At 47.7% G+C, this 24318-nt stretch overlaps 1 protein-coding gene and 1 long non-coding RNA gene across 18 annotated transcripts in view, besides 5 other annotated features; one reads left to right on the top strand and one right to left on the bottom strand.

The window, feature by feature from the left end:
* Positions 1-23997, top strand: part of CNIH3 (cornichon family AMPA receptor auxiliary protein 3) — a 305915-nt gene extending 281918 nt beyond the window's left edge. For 12 of the 16 annotated variants that reach the window (NR_136293.2, NR_136291.2, NR_136294.2 and 9 more), the window contains 3 exons: positions 13905-14017; positions 18006-18149; positions 22772-23997. Coding sequence is in view for 5 of the 16 variants with exons in the window: in NM_001322302.2 (NP_001309231.1) it covers positions 13905-14017; positions 18006-18149; positions 22772-22799 (285 nt within the window). In the remaining 11 variants the exon portion in view is untranslated. The remainder of the gene's footprint in view (positions 1-13904; positions 14018-18005; positions 18150-22771) is intronic. The other 4 variants (NR_136289.1, NR_136290.1, NR_136288.1 and 1 more) reach the window with 2 other exon arrangements.
* Positions 622-14035, bottom strand: CNIH3-AS1 (CNIH3 antisense RNA 1). Of its 2 annotated transcripts, NR_187293.1 has the most exons (3): positions 13741-14035; positions 2387-2551; positions 622-1253 (listed from the first exon to the last, which is right to left on the bottom strand). It is a non-coding gene; the product is annotated as a CNIH3 antisense RNA 1 (long non-coding RNA). The 2 variants fall into 2 exon arrangements; NR_187294.1 differs by lacking the exons at positions 622-1253; positions 2387-2551 and adding an exon at positions 9367-11308.
* Positions 16469-17668: an enhancer, noted in NCBI's record as "CDK7 strongly-dependent group 2 enhancer chr1:224920728-224921927 (GRCh37/hg19 assembly coordinates)". NCBI's record gives its function as "activates an origin of replication core promoter dependent on BRD2, BRD4, P300/CBP, MED14 and CDK7 cofactors, with strong dependence on CDK7, by STARR-seq in HCT116 cells {active_cell/tissue: HCT116}" and the evidence as "EXISTENCE:reporter gene assay evidence [ECO:0000049][PMID:35650434]".
* Positions 17060-17199: an enhancer, noted in NCBI's record as "active region_2614". NCBI's record gives its function as "activates an Ori minimal core promoter by ATAC-STARR-seq in GM12878 lymphoblastoid cells {active_cell/tissue: GM12878}" and the evidence as "EXISTENCE:reporter gene assay evidence [ECO:0000049][PMID:35858748]".
* Positions 18681-18750: an enhancer, noted in NCBI's record as "active region_2615". NCBI's record gives its function as "activates an Ori minimal core promoter by ATAC-STARR-seq in GM12878 lymphoblastoid cells {active_cell/tissue: GM12878}" and the evidence as "EXISTENCE:reporter gene assay evidence [ECO:0000049][PMID:35858748]".
* Positions 20225-20284: an enhancer, noted in NCBI's record as "active region_2616". NCBI's record gives its function as "activates an Ori minimal core promoter by ATAC-STARR-seq in GM12878 lymphoblastoid cells {active_cell/tissue: GM12878}" and the evidence as "EXISTENCE:reporter gene assay evidence [ECO:0000049][PMID:35858748]".
* Positions 20635-20684: an enhancer, noted in NCBI's record as "active region_2617". NCBI's record gives its function as "activates an Ori minimal core promoter by ATAC-STARR-seq in GM12878 lymphoblastoid cells {active_cell/tissue: GM12878}" and the evidence as "EXISTENCE:reporter gene assay evidence [ECO:0000049][PMID:35858748]".
* Positions 23998-24318: the final 321 nt, after the last annotated feature.

A 24318-nucleotide genomic window follows, 5' to 3' on the forward strand; every position in this document is an offset into this window, starting at 1 on the left:
GCATGGAGGACAAGATTCTTGGGATTAGCAGCAGGAATGGAAATTTGGGGAAGGAATGGGGTACAGTGTGGGGACCGTGGGGGTTTGGAAAGCAGGCTGATAACTTAGGGAATTTTGAGGCACCCAGGAGGGAACTGGGAGGCACTGTGATGGAGAGGAGGGAACTGTGGGGTGAGGAGGAAAGTTCCCAAGTAGAGTCTGCCTTCCCCTCCCTCTCTTGCCCTCCTCTGCTATTGCTGTGGTCACCTAGGGAGTGGGTGTAATGAGAAATGGAAATAAGAAAGGACGGGAAGTGCTGTCTTCTGGCAGTGATGCCGTAAAGCTCCTCATCAGGCCCCTTCAGAACACCCACTTCTGCCACTGGAGAAAGGGGAGCCCTGCTAGGGTTCTGGAGTGGGGACATCAGGAGCTGCAGAGGGTTCTTTGCAATACCTAGGGACGGGTGACCTTTCCTTCCCTTCTCATAACACTGGCCAGCCTTTTCCTGCAGCTCTTCCTTCACCCCTTGCACCACGACAGTGGGGAGCAGTAGGAGGAAGCTCCAGTGAGGCATTTGGTGTGTGTGTCTGTGTGTGTGCATGCACACGTGTGCTTGGGCTGCTGCAATGAAAAGACCATAGATGGTGGCTTAACAGAAATTTATTCTCACAGTTCTGGAGGTTAAAACCTCAAGATCAGGGTGCCAGCATGACTGGGTTCTGATGAGGGCCCTCTTCCTGATCTGCAGATGGCCACCTTCTCACTGTATCCTCACATGGCAGAGAAGAGAAGCTTGCTCCTTAGTGTCTTTCCTTATGAGGGCACTAATCCCATTCATGAGGGCTCCACTCTGATGACCTAATTACCTCCCAAAGACACCACCTCCTAATGCCATCACAATGGGGATTAGGACTTCAATATATGAATTTAGGGAAGGGCACAAACATTCAGTCCATAGCAGTGTGTATCCCAGCAAGGGCTAGTGTTGGCTGATCTGCCTCCCTCCTCCTTTGACCCTATTATGCTTATCCTTCTATTTTGCTTCTCCCTATATTCAGCCTTGGATTATATAGTCACTTAGGTTTTCGGTTTATCTCTCCCGATCTATTGTAAGGTCTTTGCTGGGCCTCCTGCCATATTTAATCCAGGGCATTGGGTGCTCAAAGCCTGGAGAGTTGAGTTGAGTTTGAATTTCCATGGATTCTTCTTTGTCCACACCCTTTGTGACCAACTGTACTCACCTGTAAGGGACCAGCCAGCGCTAGAGCTTCAGTCTGTGGATGTACAACAGAGAGATACACTGAGGCCAGACCTACTGAACCTGAGGCCTGCTAAATTAGTGTCGAGTCAACACCATTTCTTAGTTACTGGGATGGCTGTTATGGTTTTTCATATTCAGAAATCAGCTCAGTGATGGTGATAGCTATGCTTGTGTGGGGAACGACCAAAGGACCAATTTGTTTTCTCACTCAACAACAACAAAATTGCACCGTGTGCCAGCCACTGTTCTAGGAATTGGGGGTAAAGTCATGAAAAAGACAAGCTGCCCTATGGAACATTCAAGTGTGGGAAATAGACAATAAGCAAGTAAACAAACGCACAATAGGTACATTTTCAGATAATGATGCTGAGAGCCATGGAAAAATTAAAGTAAATAAGGAGGGAGACGATACTAGATTGGCAGGGAGGGCTCATCTGAGGAGGTGACCTTGAGTAGGTTCTTGAGTGATGAAGGCACTGCCATGCAAATATCTGAGGAGGAGCTCCCCAGTCAGGGGCTACAGCATGCGCTAAGCCTCTGAGGTGGGAACAGACATGCTGGGTTTGAGGAACAACGAAGGATCAAGTGTGGCTGGAGTGGAGTGAGCAGGGGAGTGAGTGGCGGGTTGTAGGGCCCAGGGGCACAGAGGCCAGATCATGTGGGGCCTTAGAGACCATCGTAAGGAGTTTGGATTTCATTCTAGGAGGAGTGGGAAGACATTGGAGGGTTAAGCCAAAAAGAGACATGATCTAATTTATGTTTCAAAAAGATCACTTTGCCTACTGGTGAAAAATAGCTTAGGGTGGAGTGAAAGTGAGGGGACCAGTTAGGAGGAGACGGGTGGCTCTGGTGGGAGGAGGCAGGGACGGGGGATGAGAGGAGGAGGAAGAGGTGACACTTCAGGAGAAAGGGGCAGTTCCTTCCTCCTGTGTGAAGCCTGTTCTTTGATGTGGGAGCAGAGGGTTTTCCTGGGACTCGTGGCAGTTTGTCATAGTGATTCTCAAGACTCAGAGATGGCCCCAGGTGTTTCCACCATTCTGCAGCGGGATCCCTCTCCATGTGTGCCTGCCAGGTCGCGTGTCTGCTCTGGTTTCCCCACTACCTGTAGCTCACAGGCTGTGGCTTTTGACCCCTTTGCCTACTCACCAGTGTGTGAGTGCTGGCTGCGGCATGGTCCAGTGTTCAGCTGTCGGTCTCTCCCATCAGCCTGGGGGTGCCTGGAACATTGTCACCAGGCTCATTGAACTCATCCTGGCACCTCCAGTGCCTGCCACAGTGTTTGACACCTCATAGTAGGCTCTTGATGCGTATCTGTTAAGTGAATAAATGGAGAGTTTGCTGAGCACCTACTATGTGCCGGCCCCTGTGCTGATGGAACAATTTTATGGAGAGAGACCCACAAAGACACACACAGACAAACCAATGGCACAGACACCTACACCTGCACAGCACTGACTTGAGAGGTGAGAAAAATCCTTCTTCAGGAGCATGGGGAGCTTTTATTGCTTAGGAGTGGTAATTGCTGACACACAAAATGGTCAGACTCCCCAGAACACATGGTGTTTCTGGGGATAAAAATTATTGGAGGAAGAGGATTTTTAAAATTTGCAAGTACTAGAGAGTGAAAAGGAAGATCTATTGGTTTAATTTTCAAAGGAGTTTAATTGCTGCTTTTTAAAACTATATGGAGTATTTGAACTGAGAAGGACTGTAGAGATTGTAAGGTCAAATGTCTCCTCTTACAGGTAATAGTTATTATTTATAAAGTGTTACTCTGTGCCAGAAACTATTTTAAGAGCTTCACAGATATTAACTCATTTAATACTCATAACAGTCCTATGAATTAGATACTATTATTATTATCATTTTCATTTTGTAGATGGACAAACTGAGCCTATTGAGGTTAAATGGTTTACCGAAGTTTCTGTAGTTTCTTAATAGTCCAAGCTACAGCCCAAGTTTCTTGTTCCTTAATCTACTACTATTTTCACTAAGACACTGGCACTCAATCCCTTGCTGGAAACAAGTTACAATATTATTTTGTCTTTTCTTCAAAATATTAATTTGCTAAATCAGAGTTGTGGTAAAGCTTGGCACAGTCCAGCTAATAGGAATTGTTGCCAGACTTTGGACAAACACATATGCATGTGCTCGAATTCAGACAACCCCCTCTGCCTGGGCCACAGGGAGGGAGGGCTGTGTCCATTCGTCTTGTTCTTGCAGTTAGGGCTCTGGGTCAGGACGTTCAGCAAATTGCCCATTCCCCTGTATGTGCACTCAGTAAATATTAATTGATGATGATGATGATGACAGCTCGTGTTTCTTTTGCGAATGCCAGAACTTCCCATTCTCATTCAATTCACCCTCTTTTGTTTGTTAGGGCAAAATTTTTCCAAGCTGCTGAGTGTAACAGGTAATTAACACCACTTAATAAGTGTTAAGTAGGATAGTCATCTTTTTTTTTTTTTTTTCTTGGAAAAGGTTCTTTGGAAGTTAATGGTGCTGCTGAAGACTCAGGCTTACACCAGGTTCACTCTGTTAAGGAGCATAGCGGTGCATGAGGTCAGCTCCCTCCTCTGGAAACATCAGGTTCTTGTTACATAAGAGACCTGGCAGCAGAGCCTCACCTGGGAAACGTGGCTGTAGCAGGCAGTGGAAGTGGGGAGGTGTGGCCCTGGGGACTTAGAACCCTCTTTGTTAAGCAGAGTTGGGCTTCCTTCCCTTTGCTCTGGGCTGGGTGGGCACCGTGGGTGGGACAGGTTGGAGAGGAGGGCGGAGCTCTCAGCTGTGCTAAATTCCCATCGAGCTCTAGGCAGGTGGGGCTGATGTCGAGGCTCATTATCATCTGCCCCGTGCTGAGTAACTAGAGGCAGAAGATGACCTGTTTCTGCCCTAGTTCCCCTTCCTGTCACCATGCTCTTCCTTGTCAGGTAAAATCACTGTGACTATTCCCTGGAAGTCTCCCAGGTTTAAAAAGAGACTGGCAGAAAGGATTTCCAGTCGCCATGTCGTTCCCTGGAAGATGTATAAGAGATAGCCCACGTGATGGAACGGAGATTTTCTTCCCAGGACATAAAGGAAAAAGTGATTGTCTCAAGCCCCTGAATGAAAGGATGGCTCTGAGTGTCCCTTGGGAGCAACTTTGGCCACTACGTTCTGCCTTCCATAGTATAACTCATCCTTTAAATCTCCACTTGAGAGGCCGTCACCTCCAAGGGGCCCTCCTTCATTTCCTCACTCAGAACAATGGTTTCTTCTCTCCTTTCCTCCTGCGTCGAGTGCTCCCGTGCTGCCTCGGTTTGTCCTCTGGCTTCCGTGTTTGTTGTTCATAGAGCCTGTGCTACACCTGGTCATTTACATTGAGTCTCCCCAGCTGGATGGCTTTGCATTCACCACCTAGTAAGTGCTTCTAATAAATATTTGCTGAATGAGTGTGAAAATGGGGCTCTCCAGCACCGGAATAAGGCTTGTTGAACCCTTAACCCCACTGCCCTCCTTATTCTGAGAGGAGAGGTGAGTGCCTCTCCTCTCAAACCATCTGAGTCTTTGCCTGATCACTCCCTATAGTCTGGGCATGATTTCTACTCCCTTCATCTCTGGCTCAAAGTAAAGAAGAAAAGGAGTGGGAAGCTACAAGTGTTAAGAAGCTCTGAATTGCCAGCAAGTTGTAGGAGAATTTTGTCCCTTAAAATATGTGGTATTATTTGAGAGAGCGCTTTTATTCTCATCTCCTCCCTGAGTGAAATCTTAGGTAGTTCAGTAATTTAACAAGCGTGTGAAGAAACTGGCAGAGGCTTTTGAAATTCAAGTGTGTCTTGATGCTGTATGAAAACAATTATAAAAGGAAGGCTGGGAGGAGTGGGCAGAGCAAGGCTGGAATCCAAAGGTTTGGTCCTAAAAGGAAGCTGTCCCCTTACAGATCTATAAAGTGTCCATTGAGACACCAGAAGGGCCAGAGACAGGTGGAAGGAGCTTGTGAGGCTGAATGAAGAGGGGGCCTGTGGAAGGTGGAAAGAATCCGGCCAGAACTGGAGGGGGGATTCTGGAGGTGGAAGGATGCTGGAGAGCTCACCTCCGTCCCAGGAATATGCCAAAGCCAGCCCTCCAAGACTAGAGACCACCAGCTGCAGGGCTGCAGGACCCCAGGAAGCCTCAGGGGTGCTCTCCCACGGGGTGGTGTGTGGGAAAGCCAGGAGCCAGAGACAACTGCCTTTGACTGCAAATGCCGGTTGCCCAGACTTGAGCCCCTGAAGCAGTAGTAAGTGAGCAGGGCTGTGTGTGCTCAGGACCCTCATGATGTGGGAGAAGACCCACAGCCTCTGGGAGGGTTGGGTGGGAGGAGGCCTCACACCAGGGGTTTTAAAAAAGAAGCATCTGCCTTGTGTGCTCTTCAGATGGGATTGGGCATATTCCAGGTGTTATGGCCCGGTGACCCTTGTACGCTTTTCATACCTTGGGTCTGTGAATCTCAGCTCAAGTGTTTAACAAAATCACCTGGAATGCTCTGAAAAATGCAGATTCTTGACCCAGAGAATCTAAAGAGTCTAGAGTGGAACCTGGAAATCTGCATTTGTAACAAGTGCTCTAGGCAATTTGGATGCAGGTGGCTGGGGGACTCTATTTTGGGAATCAGTCACTTCTCAAACTTTAATGTGCATGTAAGTCACTGGGGATTTTGTTACACTGCAGGCTTTGATTCGGTAGGTCTGGGATGGGGCCAAAATTCTGCATTTCTAACAAGATCCCAGGAGAAACTGGATGCTGGAGCAGGGACCACACTTTGAGCAGGGTTCTCAGTGGCTTACGTGGGACCTTGTTAGAAAGGGGGACTCTTAGGCCCCACTCAGATCTACTGCGTCTGAAACTTGGGGGGAGTGCAGTCAGCAATCTGGGGTTTAGCAAAAGCTCCAGGGGGGATTCTAAAGTACCATGAAGTTTGAGAACCACTGCTAAAAGATGAGGAAGCTTAAAGAAATGGGTGGGAGGCAGGGTGGGAACAGCCAGGCTGTAGAGCAGGGCACTAGGCCCAGTCAGTCACCTCCTGCCTTGGTTTCCTTCTCCTCCAGAAACAAGCTGAGACCTGTGAATTCCGATGGAAGAAGCCTTCTTCCTCATGGTGTTGTGCATACGTGCTTTTCCTCTTGGATCAAAGCAGGAGAACTTCCCCAGTCGACTGGCTGGGATCTGTAATTTATGCAGGATGGTTGGGCTGCATCCCCTGCACAGGGTACAGCTGGCGGTGAGGGCCCCAAGGGAAATGACGGTGGGGCTAGAGGTGCCTGAGCTGGTCAGTGTCAGTCAGGCTGGAAGCTGGTCCCCAACGAGCAGTGAGGACAGGAAGGGTCAGGCAGCTCCCAGGGTGCTGGGCAGGGCAAGAGCAGAGCCCGGTGCAGTCCACGAAGGCAGTGTCTGGAGCATGTGTGGCTGGTTGCTGATGTGTCAGGCACAGCTAAGTCCCAACAGGGGCCTCTGGGCCATCACACCCTGGGTGATCAGGAGCAATGGGCAGCAGGGGTGCTGGTTTTGACCCCCCTTCTCTCTCTGTGCCTTTTCCTCCCTGTGCTGCCTTCTCTCAGTGCAGAGGTGGAAATGAGTCCAAGTGGGTGCCAAGAAGCAACAGGAACATCCACAGTGTGGATTAAATGTGCTCAGGGAGGGTAAGTGAAGAAAACATAGGGAGAAACCAGAGGCCCCATGGGATGGAAAAGTGGGAGGCCTGGAGAGAAAGCCCCTCTGGGGCTGGAAGCAGCCCGTCACTCCTCTGCCCTTCATGCCGTCACTGACCACTGGGCCTCCCCAGGCCAGGAGGAAAATTCTTCTGTCTTCAGGTCCTGGCTCACTCAGGCAGACAACTGTCTCTTGCTTTCTCTAACTTATTTTCCTTCGTGTTCCTGGTGCAGGCCTATGGGGAAAATAATCTGCTACTGGTTTCCCTTGAATAGTGGCCCAGGCCCCAGTGGTCAGCCATGAGGGTCCAATTCTGGCCATGGAAGGCCAAGATCAAAGCAATACTTGGTCCAGGCATTTAGGAGAGCTCCTAACAGCAAAGGGTTTTGAGTCACAGCCACAGTTCCTGGTGTACATAAAATCAGTAGGTGTCATATTAATTTTATGGTGACTTTTTAAATTATTCTAGGACCAGACATGATGGTTCACGCCGCTAATCCCCACAATTTGGGAGGCTGAGGTAGGAGGATCACTTAAGCCCAGGAGTTGAAGACTAGCCTGGGAAACATAGACCCCATCTCTTAACAAAAAATTTTAAAAAATTTTAAATAAGATTATAATTCTAGACTAGGTTATTCTGTGTTAAGTTGCTTATGTAGCAGAGCCTTTGTCTTATGGCTTAAAACTATTTAATAAACTTTGATGCAAATTCCAGGAGGTCAAAACATTTAATATGCCAGCACCAACAAATAGGGACCACTCAAGTCGACCCAACCCAAGTCCCAGCTGGCGGAGTGTTCCTACTGTATCATGCCATTTGAGGTTGGCTGCTAGTCCCTGACACAGCAAGGCCTATGGGGCTGGGCAGCCCTCCTGGATGCCCAGGCTGGTGCAGGCTTTCCAAAGACGACCTTCATCCAGAGTGATTAAAGAGCATGTGGCCTCCTGAGAGCAAAGGGGCCCAGAATGTAGTTTCCTGACATTGCTTGGAGATGCTCACGTGCATGATTATTCATTTGGGAACAAATGGAGAATGATCTCCATGCTGGGAATACTGACTTCGTCCGGGGCATCCCAGAGGGATCCTCTGTTTTAGGGCCAGTTTAGTATGGGCTGAGGAATCAAATAAAAGATATAGTATCTTTTTCTCCACACTCTTTGGCTCCTGGGGCAAATAAACCTTAGGGCAGACACACAGAACTGGATTATTGCTGTTGAAAACAGGCAAGGATTGAGGTTTTTTATGATTTGAGAGGCAGGCTGTTGAAACAGCCCTTGGTTTCTCTTCCCACTTGAGGAAGCTGGAGCTTGGTTCAATCAGAGGGAGTCAGGAGACTGAATTGAAAAATCAGGAAACCAACTCTGGTTCTGGGTCATTTCATTGACTTTCACGGTAAGAGCAACAAGTTATCTACCTGAGAATGGTCATCATCTAGTATATGATTATTAAAAATAATAATGACCGGCCAGGCATGGTGGCTCATGCCTGCAATCCCAGCACTTTGGGAGGCCAAAGCAGGTGGATCACGAGGTCAGGAGTTCAAGATCAGCCTGGTCAATATAGTGAAACCCCCATCTCTACTAAAAATACAAAAATTAGCCGGGCATGGTGGCACATGCCTGCAGTACCAGCTACTCGGGAGGCTGAGGCAGGAGAATCACTTGAACCTGGGAGGTGGAGGTTGCAGTGAGCCAAGATCGTGCTACTGCACTCCAGCTTGGGTGACAGAGCAAGACTCTATCTCAGAAAAAATAATAATGATAATAATGATCACAACACAATAACAATAGTGGTGTCTTCTTTTGCTGGAGGCTTCTTCACTTTTGAGAGCACTGTCATTCATAGTACATCCTGTGTCCCTGGCTGGTAGGTATGGCATTTTACAGATGGGTAAAATAAGACTCAGCATGGGTAGCTGCTTTTCTAAATAGCACACAGTTGAGTATTATGTAACTGTAGGAATTTATATAATGCTTTGAGACACTGGGCTAATATATTGAGACTTATGGGATTACAGCTGTAAAGCTTGTTGTCTGAGTCGACAGGGGCATTCAGAGATGGGTAGAGACTCTGAGTCTCACAGCTTCTACTGTCTTCAAGATAAACTCAGTGCCAGGAGCTTCCCTGTGGCTTCCATAGCTGTGACTTTTAAAGTGTTTGGTCCCAGGCATGCTGACACCAGCCCCTCAGAAAACCTATGCCCTTGGAATGCATGATGAGAGCCAGGAGCAGACGGATCTCCAACAACAGGGGCGCTTGCTGCCTCTTCATCTCCCTCATCTTCTCCCTTCCCCTGGTCTTAAGGAATCCCTTTTCTCCACCAGGAGCATTATTCCCTTGCTTCAACTCCAAGCATCCCCTTCCTACTTCTTTTCCTTTAGGGGTAAGAAGAATCTCTCCCACAACCCCTGATGCCCCTCTCCACCACAGTAGTAAAAATAAGACAGGACTTGGCACACGATTCTATTGTTTTCATAATCTATAAAGGGTACCAATCAGCTGCAGGTCATTGATGGGATAAAACAGCAAACAAATGGATACATGAATGAATGAGAGGATACATAACTAGAAATAAAATATTTAGAATGCAGACAAGTAAAATTCCTGGAAAAACAAGATTGTGGACAATGGCTTACAGCTGAGCTGAGCATGGCATATACTGCTCTGTTGGGTGGAGGGCACATGTGTGCAGGGATGGAAACCTGCTAGAAGGTTCTTGCACCAGCCTGGAGAGGAGGTCCAGGGGCAGGATAAATAAAAAGGAAGGAACAAATGCAAGTGGCTGTGAAGAAGCAAGATTTGGAAACAGACTTACATGGAGACTGATGAGAAGAAGGAGTCAGAGATGGTATGGTTAGTAGAAGTTGGAAATTTAGGAGATAAAGTTTGCAGGTACTGATAGGAATGTGAATTTCAGCACAAAGTGGTTGTGGGATATCCAGGTGGAAATGTTTGCCAGCAAATGAAAATTGACTATTAGCATCTGGGTAGGAAGTCAGGACAGGTGGAATACAGTTAGCGTTTACACAGTCCTTACCGGTTATCATTAATGTCCTTTAATAGGGGCCCTTTGAGGTGGCCTTGTTAAGGAGCCACCCCAGACCAGTGACTTCCATCTCTCTATGCTTTTGCTTTCACTGTTCCACTTCTAGGATGCCGACCTCTGGTTCCCATAAGTGATTAGGTTTTACTCGCCCTTTCCAACTTCCCTTTGATCACAAACCTTCCATGATCCCCCTGGTTGGAATGAATTGCAGTCTTTCAGTAATCCCACAATACTTATATTGAGATTTAGGATTTATGACTCTAGAAAGCAGGGTAATAATACATGGCAATTCAATAGGCTGTGGCTTGCATGAAATAGTTTCTCCATTTGTTGAAAGAATGAGATTGGCACCATTCAACAGCTTCTCTTATTAAAAAAAAAAAAGTGTTTTCCAAAGCTAAGGGATGACTCAGGGTCATGGGGCTGTGGTGAGCGCTTGCATCAGCATCTCTGTATTTTGCTTAGAAGCTTTAGGGGTGGTCCTTATATAACAGACACTCTCAGAGTTGGGAGGGAACGCCTGGTCTGACTGCCCACACAAATGAATGAGCATTATGCCTGCCTGGTGGTTATTCAGCCCCTGCCCGAGCATGTCCGGTGACAGGGAGCTGTGTCCTGCCGGCCTCGATGGCTTGTTAAGGAAGGGCTGAGTGGATGGTTGGGGGAGGATAAACAGTGAAGAGCACAACTTTGCTTTTCCCATTGATTACTCAGTCTGGGGCTTGCTGATGGTATCATATGAGATAGGTTAAATCATGCTATGGCAAAACAACAACAACAACAACAACACTCAACTCTTGGCAGCTTAAAACAACACAAGTTTCTTTACTGCTCACACTCTAGTCCATCATGAGTTGCCTGGGGGCCTCTTTCCTTACTTGTGGCTTCAGGATGATGGAGTACCCACCATCCTAAATGCTTTTTGCTTTGTCAGAGGAAAAGGAAAAGAGACTCTGGAGAATTTTGTATCAGCCGTTAAGTGGTCTGGCCTTCTCTCCACATCACTTCTGCCCACAGCCCATCAGCAGCCCCAACCCCTGAGAGCTGGAAAATGAGACCTTACCACCTTCCAGAAGGCTGAGTGCTGGGTGTGAGTGGAGGCAGCCATAATGGCTATGGTGCAGGCCTCATGCAAATGGCCTGGCTGATTTCCATTTGGTCTAGAAGGAAGAGGTTCCTTACCTCTTCCACATCATTGTGACAAGAAGCAGCTGGTGAAGTAGGCAAGGATCAGTGTGTGTATCAAAAGGTCACTGTCACTCCTAAAAGTCTCTGGATTAATTGGAGGAGCCTCTTCTACTTGTAAGGATCCTGTTCAGTGTTCTAGGCATAAGAGGTCATCTAGAGAAGCCACCTGAAATGGCAGAATAAATTCTTCAGCTTTTTTCCCAACCTCCAAAAGGCTGGAGACCTCCGTGACTAGCTGGCCTGCATTAAGCAGTTTTCCTCTACGTGGAGACAGTGATGAATCCTCCCTGCTTGGAAGGTTGCAGCCTCCACAATAAATCAAGCCCCAAAGAGAGAAGAAGCAGTGGTGATTAAGAGTGGGACCTGAAATCCAAACTGTAATCAGTCAGAGATTTGTCATTGGAATTGGAGATGGAGATGGAGAAATAATGGATGATTCAGGCCCACGGTGGCTGTCTCTAAACATGTTAATTGCCTCAGCTTAAGTGGCTGAAACTGATGATTAGAAAATGTAGAGATGTGCATAGCAGAACTCACAGCCACTGCCTCCCGGGGCTGGCGCACCCAGCTCTGAGAAAGTGGGCTTTCTCTTTGAATGGGAGGGGGTAGGGTGATGCCTTGGCTGGGGGTAGATAGGATTGGTTATCACAGCTCTGAGGTCCTATAAGGAGATACAATAGGGACATGGCGTGCCCCCTCCTGCCAGGTGGTTGAGATTCACAGGGGCTGGTGGTACCTGCTTCACCCACCAAGGGTCACCACCTCTGGAATGATGGCTCCTTTGCTCTGATTCCTCAGGTGATTGCCTGAGAAGTCTAAGGTGAGGGTTAATGCAATTCATCTACACTGGACTTTGAGAATAAAGAAGGTGCCCCATAGTTACAAAATGTCTTACACGTGTGCTGTGCATGTCTTTATTTTTAATGTGTGCGTATGTGTTTCTCCCTCTGTGTCTGCCATCTGGGGTAGTTAGCTCATCTAACTAAATTGAGAGACCAAAGTCATGGTCCATACCCAAATGGGATGGTTTGAGGGAGTTTGTTCTCCACCCAAAGAAATCTTAGTTTGTAACCACAGGCTGCATATCTAATGCCAGCCAGCCATGTTGTAAACATATGCACTTGGTCATTTCAATGCACTTTACCACGTATTTGTTAAGTCTCTCCTAACTGCCATGCATTGTACAAAGGCGCTTTGCAAATGGAAATGAGAAAAGAATAGACGTTGGCTAAGATGGCTTGCAGAATGCTGGACAGAGGAATCTATCTGTATTGGAAGGTGGGAAGAGGATGATGACTCCACAATGGATAGATTATGGAAAGTACCCCTGGGAGGGGGTCAGAAAACATGCTGTGGGGCCCAGAGGTACAGGGGAGGGTGGAGGAACAAGGGACGGTAGGCAGAGCTCCCAATAGAAAGTGTCATTTGAGGCTGGGGACGGTGGCTCGTACCTGTAATCGCAGCACTTTGGGAGGCCGAGGTGGGCAGATCACCTCAGGTCAGGAGTTCAAGACCAATCTAGCCAACATGGTGAAACCCCCTTTCTACTGAAAAATATGAAAATTAGCTGGGCGTGGTAGCAGGCGCCTGTAATGCCAGCTACTTGGGAGGCTGAGGCAGGAGAATTGCTTGAACCCAGGAGGCAGAGGTTAGAGTGAGCCAAGATCACGCCACTGTACTCCAGCCTGGGCAACAGAGTAAGACTATGTCTCCAAAAAAAAAAAAAAAAAAAAAAAGGTAAGTGGCATTTGAGATGGGCCTTGAAGGATGTTTCAAAAGATTTTGATGGGAAGAACAAAGTATTCATGAGAGCCTAAACAATACAAAGTATATTTATATATTATATAAATAAATATATTTAGTAATATGTATCTATATCTCCCTATATAACTGGGTAAAATGGTGCATTTATATCTGTAGCCTTCCCTACTGCTGGTCTAGGTGCCAAATTTCTTCCTTACAGTTACCCTTTAGCTTACAACTTTGATTTCTGATAAAATGAAGTTACCCTTGGGAGCAGCTTTTCAATGATTTTAAGCTCCTTTTACCCATTTATACCTGTGTGGCTGGATTGGAGGTGGGAGAGCTTAGTCTTCCTGCTGGTCACACTTCCCACCATCAGGCCTTTCTTGGTCAGGATCAGTTTCTTCCCTCTTCCCCCAGAGGCTACACTGTCCCTCTTCATCATTGCTAATTGTTGTTTTTCTCGCGTTCCTCTTGCTCCATCCACCATCAGGCAAAATGCCACTGCCTTCTGAGGCTGGCCATTTTTTCCTGACCCTCCTATATTTGTGATAAATGTACATATTCACTTTAGGTTTGTGAGTTACTATAGGAGGATACACAGGGGCCAGAAAAACAAGAGCAGGGCAGTTATGGATTCATTAGAAACCCTTGCAGTATTTCTCCTAGTGGTCCTGCCTTGGGTCAGATGACACATGGGCTGGACCAGCTCTTCCAGTCTTCCCAGTGGCCATCCATGGGTGACCCCTAGGAGCAAGCGTGGTATTCTGTTAATAGTAAGCAGTGCACTGAGGGCTTGTGTCATTTGGGTTTGGGTATAATAAAAAGAGGAGTGCCATAAAAAGAAGAACTTACCAGAAATGGATCTGTGTTGGGGCAGTGGCTCTACGTTGCTGCAGGGAGGGCCTTTGTGTCAACCGTCTGTGAGAGGCAGTGTCCAGGCAGAAGTCAGCTGCCATAGAAGCAGGAGTGGCGTTTTCCTCCTCTAACTCAGGGCCGTGTCTCTGCTCCCTCTTCAGCTGGTGCTGCCAGAATACTCCATCCATAGCCTCTTCTGCATTATGTTCCTGTGTGCGCAAGAGTGGCTCACGCTGGGGCTGAATGTCCCTCTACTTTTCTATCACTTCTGGAGGTAAGTCAGACTGGGACTGGTATATCCTTCGTCTTTTCTGCCAGGGCAGCCTGCTCTCCAGTGATGATGTCACCCAAATAGACAGCTTCTATTGCCTTCCAATCATCCCTTCCTTTCTGGGTCTCTCTCTTTAAAGCCTGTTCCCAAACTGCTCTTAGGCAACAAGTCCAATAAGGAAAGGCCCTTTTTGTTGGTTTCATTAACCACAACCCCATCCCTTGTAGGTCAGTGTTAAAAGCATCTATAGTTGCATTCACAACAGCCAAAGAGTGGAACCAACCCAAATGCCCATCAGCTGATAAATGGAGAAACAAAATATGGTATATCCATACAATGGAATACTATTTGTCAATAAAAAGAAATGAAGTACTGATACATGCTACAACATGAAGCCCTAAAGAAAGTATCAGTGAAAAAAGCCAGACACAAAAGGCCACATATTTCATGATTCTATTTATAGGAAATGTCCAGGAAAGGCAAATCTATAGACAGAAAGTAAATTCATGGCTGCCAGGGGCTGGGAGGGAATGAGAATAGGGAATGACTGCTAATGGGTCAAAGGTTTTCTTTTTAGGGTGATGAAAATGTTCTGAAATTAGATAGTCATGATGGTTGCACAACTCTATGAATATACTAAAAACCACTGAATTGTACAGTTGTACACTTTAAAAGGGTGACTTTTATGGTATGTAAATTATATCTTAATAAAAAAAAAAGCACCTACCAGATGGGCTGGATTTTCTGGGACAGTTATAATTTCATAGATTCTATTCCCTGCTAAGACCATGTGTCAGATCATGTGATTTTTGGCTTTTTGTAAAATAGAGTCACCATATGGACACAGGAGGCAGAGGTGGGGGAATATCTAAATAGTAGAGAAGGTATTTGCGCAGATAAGTTGCCTGCCCTTGACCCTTTGCTGCCAGAGCATTGGACCCCAAAGTGTTTTATCATTTTTATTGTACCATAAAATCTGGCTTGAATTTAGCCACACCTAAGACATGCACTCCTTCATTTAGAAAACATACGGGATACATAGTACACGCCAGGCATTGTGAGGGATTTCACGTTAAGTGTAAAGCAAAACCTTTACCCTTAAGGAACGTACATCCTAGTGGTGGAGGGAAATATGTTCTTAACAGACATATGAGGAATACTGGTAGGAGCATAGAGAAAGAAGCACTTAAATTAGACTCAAGAGTGACATTGGAAAAGCACATTCCAGGGCGAGGGCCCAGCATGTGCAAAGGCCCAGAGTTAAGAGAACACTTGTTGTGTTTGGGAAACAGTAGTTGCTCAGTGAGGTTGGATGTAGGGTTCTTGGAGGGAAATAAGAAGAGACAGGGTTGGCAGGCAGCTGAGAGTATGGTATGGAGGGCCTGAAATGATTTGATGGGGAAGGTGGAATTAATTTATTCTCTAGGTAATGAAAAATGATCAGAAGCTTTAGAAGAAGACAGTGGCATTACCTGATCTGATTTTTAGGAAGGTGGCCTGGGAAGCAGTGTAAAGGATGGGTTAGAGGGTGAAATATTGAGGATGAAATCCAATGAGGGGGTTATGGTGGGAACTCCAGGTGGAGAGGTGAGAGAGCCTTGACCCAGGTGGTGGGAGTCAGAATGGTGAGAGAACAAGAGAAGCTGTGGAGGTGAACTGGATAAGCCTTGGCCCATAATTGGGTGCAGGTGAGGGAGAGAAAGCCTCTAGGCTGCGTGGCCGGGAGGTCGATGGTGCCATTGACCAGGGCCAGCAGGGTAGAAGAAATCTCAGATTTAGGGAGGAAGGAAAAAGATTCGGTTACATCGAGAAGCCTCACTTTAAGTAAAGGCAATCTGCTCTCATCTGAATTAGAGAGAAGTCAAATAGAAGATCCAGGATTCACAACAACCAAGTGAGCTGGGTTTCATTTTCTGTGTTTGATACATGGGGACACAGAGACTCACAAAGGTTAAGTCAACTTAACCTGTGTTGCTCAGCTCGGACGTGGCAGGGCTGAGGTTACACCCCACCTCTGTACGAATTCCAGTCTGAGTCCCTGCCACCTGACACACTGCCCCAGGGGCTGGCTCTTCTCCTCCAGGAAAGGAGTTCGTCCCAAGGTCCTTCAAGTAGGGGGCTGTCAAGGCAGGGTATCAGAAATGTGATTAATGGACAAAACATCGATCAGGGCACTGCTTCGTGGGGCTAGCGCTTGTCCAAAAGGGAGGAAAAGGAGAGGCAGCCAGTGTCCGTAGACTAGGAAAGTTGATCTCTATGGAGGAAGGGAGGGGCTGCAATCTCCTTGCCAATAGGGACTTTGTCTTACCTTTTTTTTGAATCCCTGACAGGATCTAGTCTAGTTCCTGGCAATTAGTAAGTTCTCAGAACATGAAAGAAAAAAAAGAATGAGGAGGGGAGGAGTCCTTTAAAAACCAGAGCCCTTGTACACCCTTTATCCCCCTTTTTACTCCCCCTCCTTCCCAACAGGTCCAGACCAGTGACATTTCACATACAGAGAAAGTCCCCTCCTGCTCTGGCTCTTAGTTTGCTTAAAGGAAATAGAACTGTCTGCTGTTGACTCAGTACCTGTTCTTCCCAGGTTATTTGCATACATCGCCTCACATAATGGTCACAACAGCCCTTTGCAGTGGGCAATTCCATCCCCATTTCACCGATGAGAAAGTTGAGGCTCAGATGGGTTAATGACTGACCCAAGGAAAGTCAATGTGGTGACTGGTGACTGGCAGGGCCTTTGCTGTTTCCACGGAGCCACATGGCCACCCTGCCCTTCTGCCTCCACTTAATGAGGTCACCTGGGAATAAAACCACAGTGACAGCAAATAGCTTTTGAGATTGGCTCCCAGGAAGAGGAGAGATGAGTGGCCTGGAGGGCTGTGAGCTGGCAGTTGTCATCGAATCTGGCTTGTGATTTCTTTTCAGCACAGTGTCAGTGACAGATAACGTCAGTGCAATTCTCTGAAGGGGAAGGAGGAGGGAGCTGAGATTCCGGATCTGCGAGTTGCTACATTGCAGGATGTTCTTCAAAGCCAGTGTGATTAATCTCCCGGTCGGAGCCCTCTCCCTGGGCCCTTTACCACCATTGAGAACCACTGTCTGTCCCAGAGCCCAGGGAAGCCATTTATTTGCACTCCTGGCCTCTGGGTGGCTTTACCAGAATGACTGAAAAAGGAACTCACTGAGAGATTCCAGCTGTACTTTGTTCTTGGGCTCCGGCAGGAGGCTGTGGCCAGGTCCCTGGGGGCAGTGTCCTGGGGGCAGCGACCACTTCCCAAGGGACTCAGGAGGCTCAGACTCCTGCCCCAGGTCTCACCAAGCCTGACGGCTCCCCTCCTCAGGGGCTGTGGCCAGGTGAGCCTTGGGAACGTAGTATTTTGAAGTACACACAGTTCGCGTTAGCTGCTCCCCCTCCTCCTCTTTCCCACCTACGTTCTTTCACTCACCCAGCTGCCGTCCAGGGCACGCTGTCTCCCGACAGATGGCTGATGTTCTTTTTGAGTTCTAGGTCCCACTATCAAGAAGGAAAGCACCTGTAAACTGCTCTGCGCTCAAGTGAGAATAGGATGTCCCGAAGTATTCAGGATTTTCAATAAGGGTCTGTGTAAAGTAGTTTTAGGGTAGAATGGAGGTATGGTGGCATCCCAGCAGTGGTGGTATAGCCCTTTACCTCTGCCTGCACTTGTCCTGAGAGGCGGCTCTTCCTCAGACTCCTAGGCAACGCCAGGTGACACATTTCCCCTTCTGTTGGAGCAGCTTTGTATATGGGTGAAATTGCCATGATGCCAGTGGATTGGAGTATTTGGGGATTTACTACCTGCTGGAAGATAGTGGCTGAGCCACTCTTCAGCGGTGCTTCAACTGTGATTTGGGCAGAAGGCAGGCAATTGCTTGGCAGGGATTGCTCGACAGAAGCCCTGCATCGGAAGGGTTTGCCCAGGTTACGCCAGAAGTACCAGGACCTCAGAGACAATGATGTCCTCTCTCCCTGCAGGTATTTCCACTGTCCAGCAGATAGCTCAGAACTAGCCTACGACCCACCGGTGGTCATGAATGCCGACACTTTGAGTTACTGTCAGAAGGAGGCCTGGTGTAAGCTGGCCTTCTATCTCCTCTCCTTCTTCTACTACCTTTACTGGTGAGTATCTGCCCCTCCTGGTGGTTTTGACTCCTGCAGCAAAAGGAAGAGAATTTCAGGCTGGCCTCTGGGAGGCGTCCTTTGGGAGATGGCGTGCGAGGGTGGGAGTCATGGCCATTCAGGTGTAGTCCCAGCTGTCTGACTCTGGCTCAGGAGCAAGGGCTTCTGTATAAACAAGTAAGGGGGCAGGAGATCCTGCAGGAGGCCTTGCCTGCTGATCGGCACATCCTTAGGGCCACGCAGTGAAAACACCCTCTCAACATCCCTTTGGAGATAACTGGTGAAGTGCAGTTGGCTACTCCTTCTTCCCTATAGGGCTTCCTGCCTCTCACGACTTTGCAGCTCAGCCCAGCAGGTTGCCTGTGGCCACAGGGGCTCAGGCTCATCCTCACTGTCCCTTGCCCCAAGGATTCTTGGGAACCATAACAGAGGCCCCAAACTCCCCACCCCAGCCCCACAGTGGCTGTCACGGTTCATAAAGTGGCATTTTGTGTCGCTAAATGCTTCATTTACAGTTTTCCCAATATTACATAACACCATTCCAATTAAGAAAAACCTGCTGACTTTGCAGTCCTGTTTCAGGAGTGTCCCTTCTTTTCACCTCTCCGCTCAGAACATCCTAACTAAGCAGATAGCTATAAACAGACTGTCTTGTGGTTTGACACCACAGAGAGTGCCTTTTCCGCAAATGTCTCCTCCTCCTTCCTGCTCCTCTTTGGCTCATCTCTGGGGACTCTCACCTGTCACTTGCGATTCCATCATTACCTGTGGCAGGGCCATGGTGATCTCCAAACCTCCCGGTGATGTCTCCAAAAGGGCATGGTTGACAGCAGCCAGGTGAAGAGGAGGAGGGGTCGGGATGTTGGACTGCACGCCACCCCTAGGTTTGGATTGGGCTGTGGCAGGCCAGAATGTGGCTGCATTTGTCCAGCATTTTTTATTTTTTATTATTTTTTAATTTTTATTTAAAGATGGGGTCTCACTGTTTTGCCCAGGCTGGAGTGCAGTGGTGCCATCGCTGCTCACTGCAGCCTTGAACTTGGCTCAAGTGATTCTCCCACCTTAACCTGAGTAGCTGGGACTGCAGGTGTGTGTCACCATGCCCGGCTATATTTTTTTTTTTTAATTTTAAAATTTTTTGTAGAGATGGGGTTTCACTGTGTTGCCCAGGCAGGTCTTGAACTCTTGGGCCCAAGTGACCCTTCTGCCTCAGCCTCCCAAAGTTCTGACATTTAAAAATGAGCCAGGCTTTGTGCTCAGAGCTTTGTACGTATCGCTCAATTTATAAGATAAATACTATCCTCACTCACATATGAAAAATGAACTGAATCTGAGAAGTTAGATAATTTTCCTGAATTCCAGCTATTAGTGTCACAGCTGTAAGTAGTACATCTTGAGTCCGATTTCAAAGACTGAACTCCTTTTTCCTTTTTCTTTTTTTGAGGGTATCACTCTGTCTCCCAGGCTAGACTACAATGGCAGGATCATAGCTTGCTGCAACCTTGAACTCCAGGCTCAAGGGATCCTCCTGCCTAAGCCTCCTGAGTAGCTGGAATTATAGGCATGTACCACCATGCTCGGCTAATTTTTGTATTTTTCTGTAGAGACAGGGTTTTGCTATGTTGCCCAGGCTGGTCTTGAACTCCTGGGCTCATGTGATCTACCCGCCTCAGCCTCCCAAAGTGCTGGGATTACAGGCGTGAGCCACCGTGCCCAGTAGCTCTTAACTGCTGGCTATCTTAGAAAACCTCTAGAAAAGTCTTCATCAAAGTGTGGGGTAAGGAAGGGAGGAAGGTGTGCTTTTTAAAAATGCAGATTCCTGGGCTTATAGCTACCTATTCAAACTTTCCAGGGCTGGGCTCTGCGTTTTAAACAAGCTCTCTGGACAATCTTGGTGCACACCTTGGTGGCTCTGGAGCATTCTACTTGGTTCTGCCTTCCCTCCCCTTTACATCCCCAGTGTCCGCAGACTCTGTGGGGTGCTCTGGGATGTTTACTGCTCCAGCCTGCAGGGAGCCTGACGGTCTTTGAAGCCTCCGGAGATTTCTACGGTGCCCAGTGGGTTCACCTAAGTCTTTCTGACTCCAAGTCTGAACTATTTAACAACCAAAGGCTTGTCAGATGGGTTTCTGTCTTGGGAGACCTACAGAGTGTGGACAAAGCCGCCGTGGGCTTAGGGACTTGCCACCTTGGAGGTTAGGTTTTTTCCCTGCAGTGTGCTCAACCCTGCTTTCTTTGTGGAGCCACAGACTTCCCCTTCTGCAGAGTCATGGGCTGAGTGGCCTGTCCCCAGAGACAGCACTGTCTCTCCTCTAAGCCAACAGAATGAGACCATTGTTTTCATTAGCTCCTGCCCCTTTAGCCTGGGATCCACCTCAGTGTGGATGAAGACAGAGGCGAGACTTTCCCTCATTTCAGTTTTGTTGCAGTAACTGCTGGAGCCGAGGCGTCGCAGGGAAGAAGCCATATGAGTTCACAGGGAGGGAAGCGGCTGTGCGTGCTCCGCTGCGGGGGTGGGAGGGGGTGGGGTAGGGAGGTCTTGGCAGCTCCTCTCGGTTAGATGGGTGTGATTGTTCTGTAACCGAGTGTGTTCCAGACAGTCTGTTTGACTGTTTGTCCTCTAATTCATTACTTCAGTTTGGCCCTGCCTTCATGATACATGTGTTAATCACTCTGTTTCTAAAACAAAATTGGAAACAGTTCCTGCAGCCTCACTGGGACCCTGGGTGGCCGCCACGGGCACCCACATTCTTTGTTGAATCTGGCCCCTTGGTGCTCTTTGGGGCTGCTTAAAAGACTCTGTTTCTCCCACCTTAGGAGCTGCCAGCCCCTCAGATCCGGAGCTGGTGGAGAGCACAGCAGCGTCAGCGCAGGCCACCGTGGGAGGGAGGGAAGGGGACTCGTGTATGCAGAGCCATGTCTGAACTGAGCTCAGGGCTAGAGACCCACACAACAGCGGGGAAGACGGGGTTGATAGTTTATAGTTTGAGCTCCCTGAGGGGCTCCTGAGGACTTCGGAGAGGTTAAGAAATGTGTCTCAGGTCCCTGCTAATAATTAGCAACATCTGGCTTCAGAGCCTGTGCTCTTTCTTCTATCCTGTTTGAACCGCATGGCACCCATCACCCCACTTCTCAGGTTGCCTTGTGGACCAGGTGATATTTGAGGGTTGTGTTAGAAGGGGACTAGCTAATGCAGATACTAATACTAGCTAGTGAGCCCAGTGTGAACAGTGTCTGCTCTGTAGAAAGATTTTTTTCCGACCTGAAGTAGTAGGACCACCCTCCTGCGTGGTTATTCTGGATCATGCCTGTTCCTCCTCAGGTTTATTTCTCTCCATCTATGTTATTTATGATTTACTTGTTCCTTGACACTGGAGACCATGTTGGTTTCATTCACCTCTGCGTCTGCAGTGTCCTGGCCCGTGCCTGGCACTCACTGAATCCTCGTGGTTTGTTGTTACAGCTTAGCTGTATGCTTCCTCAAGGCAGGAATTGGGGCTGCACACTCACCATTTTCCCCAGCACTGAGAATAGTGTCTGGCATAACGAATGAAAGTGAGTAAACAAAGGTATCCACTTGAGGCTTAGTACTGTTATGCAAAAAGCACTGGCTTTGGAGTTAGAATGTGGCTTCTCGCCCTGCTGTCACTCCTCATCTGGCCCTCAGCTTCCCCAAGTAGAGTAAGTCCCTCTTGCTCCAGGTCTGACCAGTGGTTCTCTGTGTACATGAGGTGTGTGAGGTTCCTGAAGATGGAACTTGAGCTACTCAGAGGAGCTCATTGGGCATCCACAGCTGCAAAGGGTTAGAAGTCAAACCTTTTCATTTCTTTCCTTTGGTTTTACTTCTTAGATGAATCTTTTTTTCTCACTATAATGTGAAAAGATAGTTGGTTTCTTTTTCTGCGAAATAGACAAAGAGGTATATTTTGGTGCAGATCATTCCTCAGCCTTGCAAAATTACCCTGAAGCCCTTACTAAGCGCACAGGGATACATGTCCCCTTCACCCCACTCTTAGTAGTATTGGGGCAATACTTTAGGTCACACACTTTTAATGCATGTTTAATTCCTGGAGTCCATTAAAAATAAGAGGGCCAGGGAGTTACCCAATCAAGAATTCATTGAGTTCTGGTGCCCAGAGGGCTTATGTTCCCACGCTGGCCTTTGCAGTAGTGATGATGATCTTTCCCCCAGCACTACCGTATTATCCAGCATCATCTGGGAGCCCCTGGACACAGCCATCATGCAAGCACATGGCAGCTGGTGGCATAAAGAATCCACTGCACCCCCACCTCCACCCCCAGACCTGCCCTGCAATTGCACAAAAAGGAAAACAACCATAATCATCATCCTGATGAGAATGATAATAGGCACTTAGAGCTTTCACATCTTTTATCCAAGGGATACAATATGCTCTCCCAAAAAATTTTTATTCCAGTGTTGTGGGAAGTAGAAGGGGCACAGTAGTGGAGTTGGCGAGATGCTGTAGTGACAGGAATGAGGGAGAAGCCAAGGGGTCTGGCCTCTGGAAGGTCCCTCTCCTGAGGGGCAGCCTGAGTCCTCTGTGGGCTTCTACTAACACCTTCCTCTCTTTTTTTTTTTTTTTTTTTTTTTTTGCATTCAGCATGATCTACACTTTAGTGAGCTCTTAACGCAAAGACCATGCACATCATCAGAGACTGAGATGGGAGAGGCCTGAGACGGAGAGGTGCATTTCTGCTGGTGACTGGAGGAGGGACCAGAATGAGGATACGTGAGAAATAGACCCGGCAGGCAGTCAGACTGAATGGGAGCTGGAATCACGCAGCAGCTGGGAGCCGAGTTAACCCTGCGTGTCTGTGTCACCCTGTTTGTCAATCTTTGGCATTCGAATTCCACACACGGGGTCCTAGAGCCCTTCTGAGCATCAGTGGTGTGGGGGAGTAGGTGACGAAACACTAGACCTCTCCTGAGAGAGAATTGCTGCTTCCTGAATCCACTTCATTGAACAGCACCTTGCAAGTTCAAATGAGTTCCTGGGAGCGGAGGCTGGAAGGCCACAAGGTGCTTGCTAAGGAACAGAATGACCCAGAGTCAAGGCCAAGTCTGCAGGGACCTGTTGAAAGCCTCGAGAATGTCTTGGCTGCCCAAGACTCTTGTTGCCTTTCTTCCAAGCCATGGCCATGCCCTTTTTCTCAAATGGGAGGGGCTGGAGGGTGTGTGGGATTTGTCTTCAGCTGCAACCAGCCTTGAGCCTGCTGGGCTATTTTCAGCTGAGGAGGGGTGAATATAGGAAAAATGCATTTTTGAAACGTTTGCAACATGATCAAGGTGTTAGTTCTCCACCACACAAGTTGTATTCTTCTTTTGCCACCTCAAACCATCACAGAGTCTTTAAATGCAAATCAATTGGTCAATGCTAGTCAAAGCTATGTTCTTACAAAAACCCCAGACAGCTCAGAGCTCAGAAAATCCTGTGGAGTGGCTGCTCTGTACCGTGGGCATCCGGCAGCCAGGAAGTGAGACAACATAATTATAACTTTGTTTTATGATGCTGCATCATTTGTACTGTTTAGGTCGACGTGAGGACATCATCTTATTTAGAATTTTCCGTTTGGCATTCTCTTTTGGGTGGGAGTTATGCTGGGGGTTGTAAATAATGACAAGGCTGAGATTTTTATGATGTTTAAATTGGGCACAATGATTTTGACCTTATTCCCCAAACTTCTTTTCTTTTCTACTGTTTAACATACACAGGCTATTTATACACGTCCCCAGCTCCCATCTGAAACCTGTGACTCAGGTTTATGAATGGTGTTTGTGTAGCAACACATTGTGTGCTATGTTTATTAAAATGCAGCGACAACTTGAGTGTCTCACTTAACTGGCTCTCTCATTTCAACCATTACAGCTGAATTTGTCTACATATGGTTGGAAAACTGATAGGAAGAAAAGGCAAATTTTCAAAAAGGCATCATGCTGCTAAAAATTCTGTGGAAAACAAAATGCAGACTTTTACTCTGAGGTTTATGGTATAAAACTGGAGAATTTGAGGTGATGATTTTGGGAGAAGGCTTCCTCTTGGCCAATGCCCTTTTTACCGACCAGGTAACTGTTGTTAGGGATAGAGTTACCTTTCGGCTGCTTGGGCCTGGCTTTGGCTTCATTCCTGAGAAGACTAGTGACCCTCAT

This window comes from Homo sapiens, chromosome 1, assembly GCF_000001405.40.
Source record: "Homo sapiens chromosome 1, GRCh38.p14 Primary Assembly".
Taxonomy (NCBI): Eukaryota; Metazoa; Chordata; class Mammalia; order Primates; family Hominidae; genus Homo; species Homo sapiens.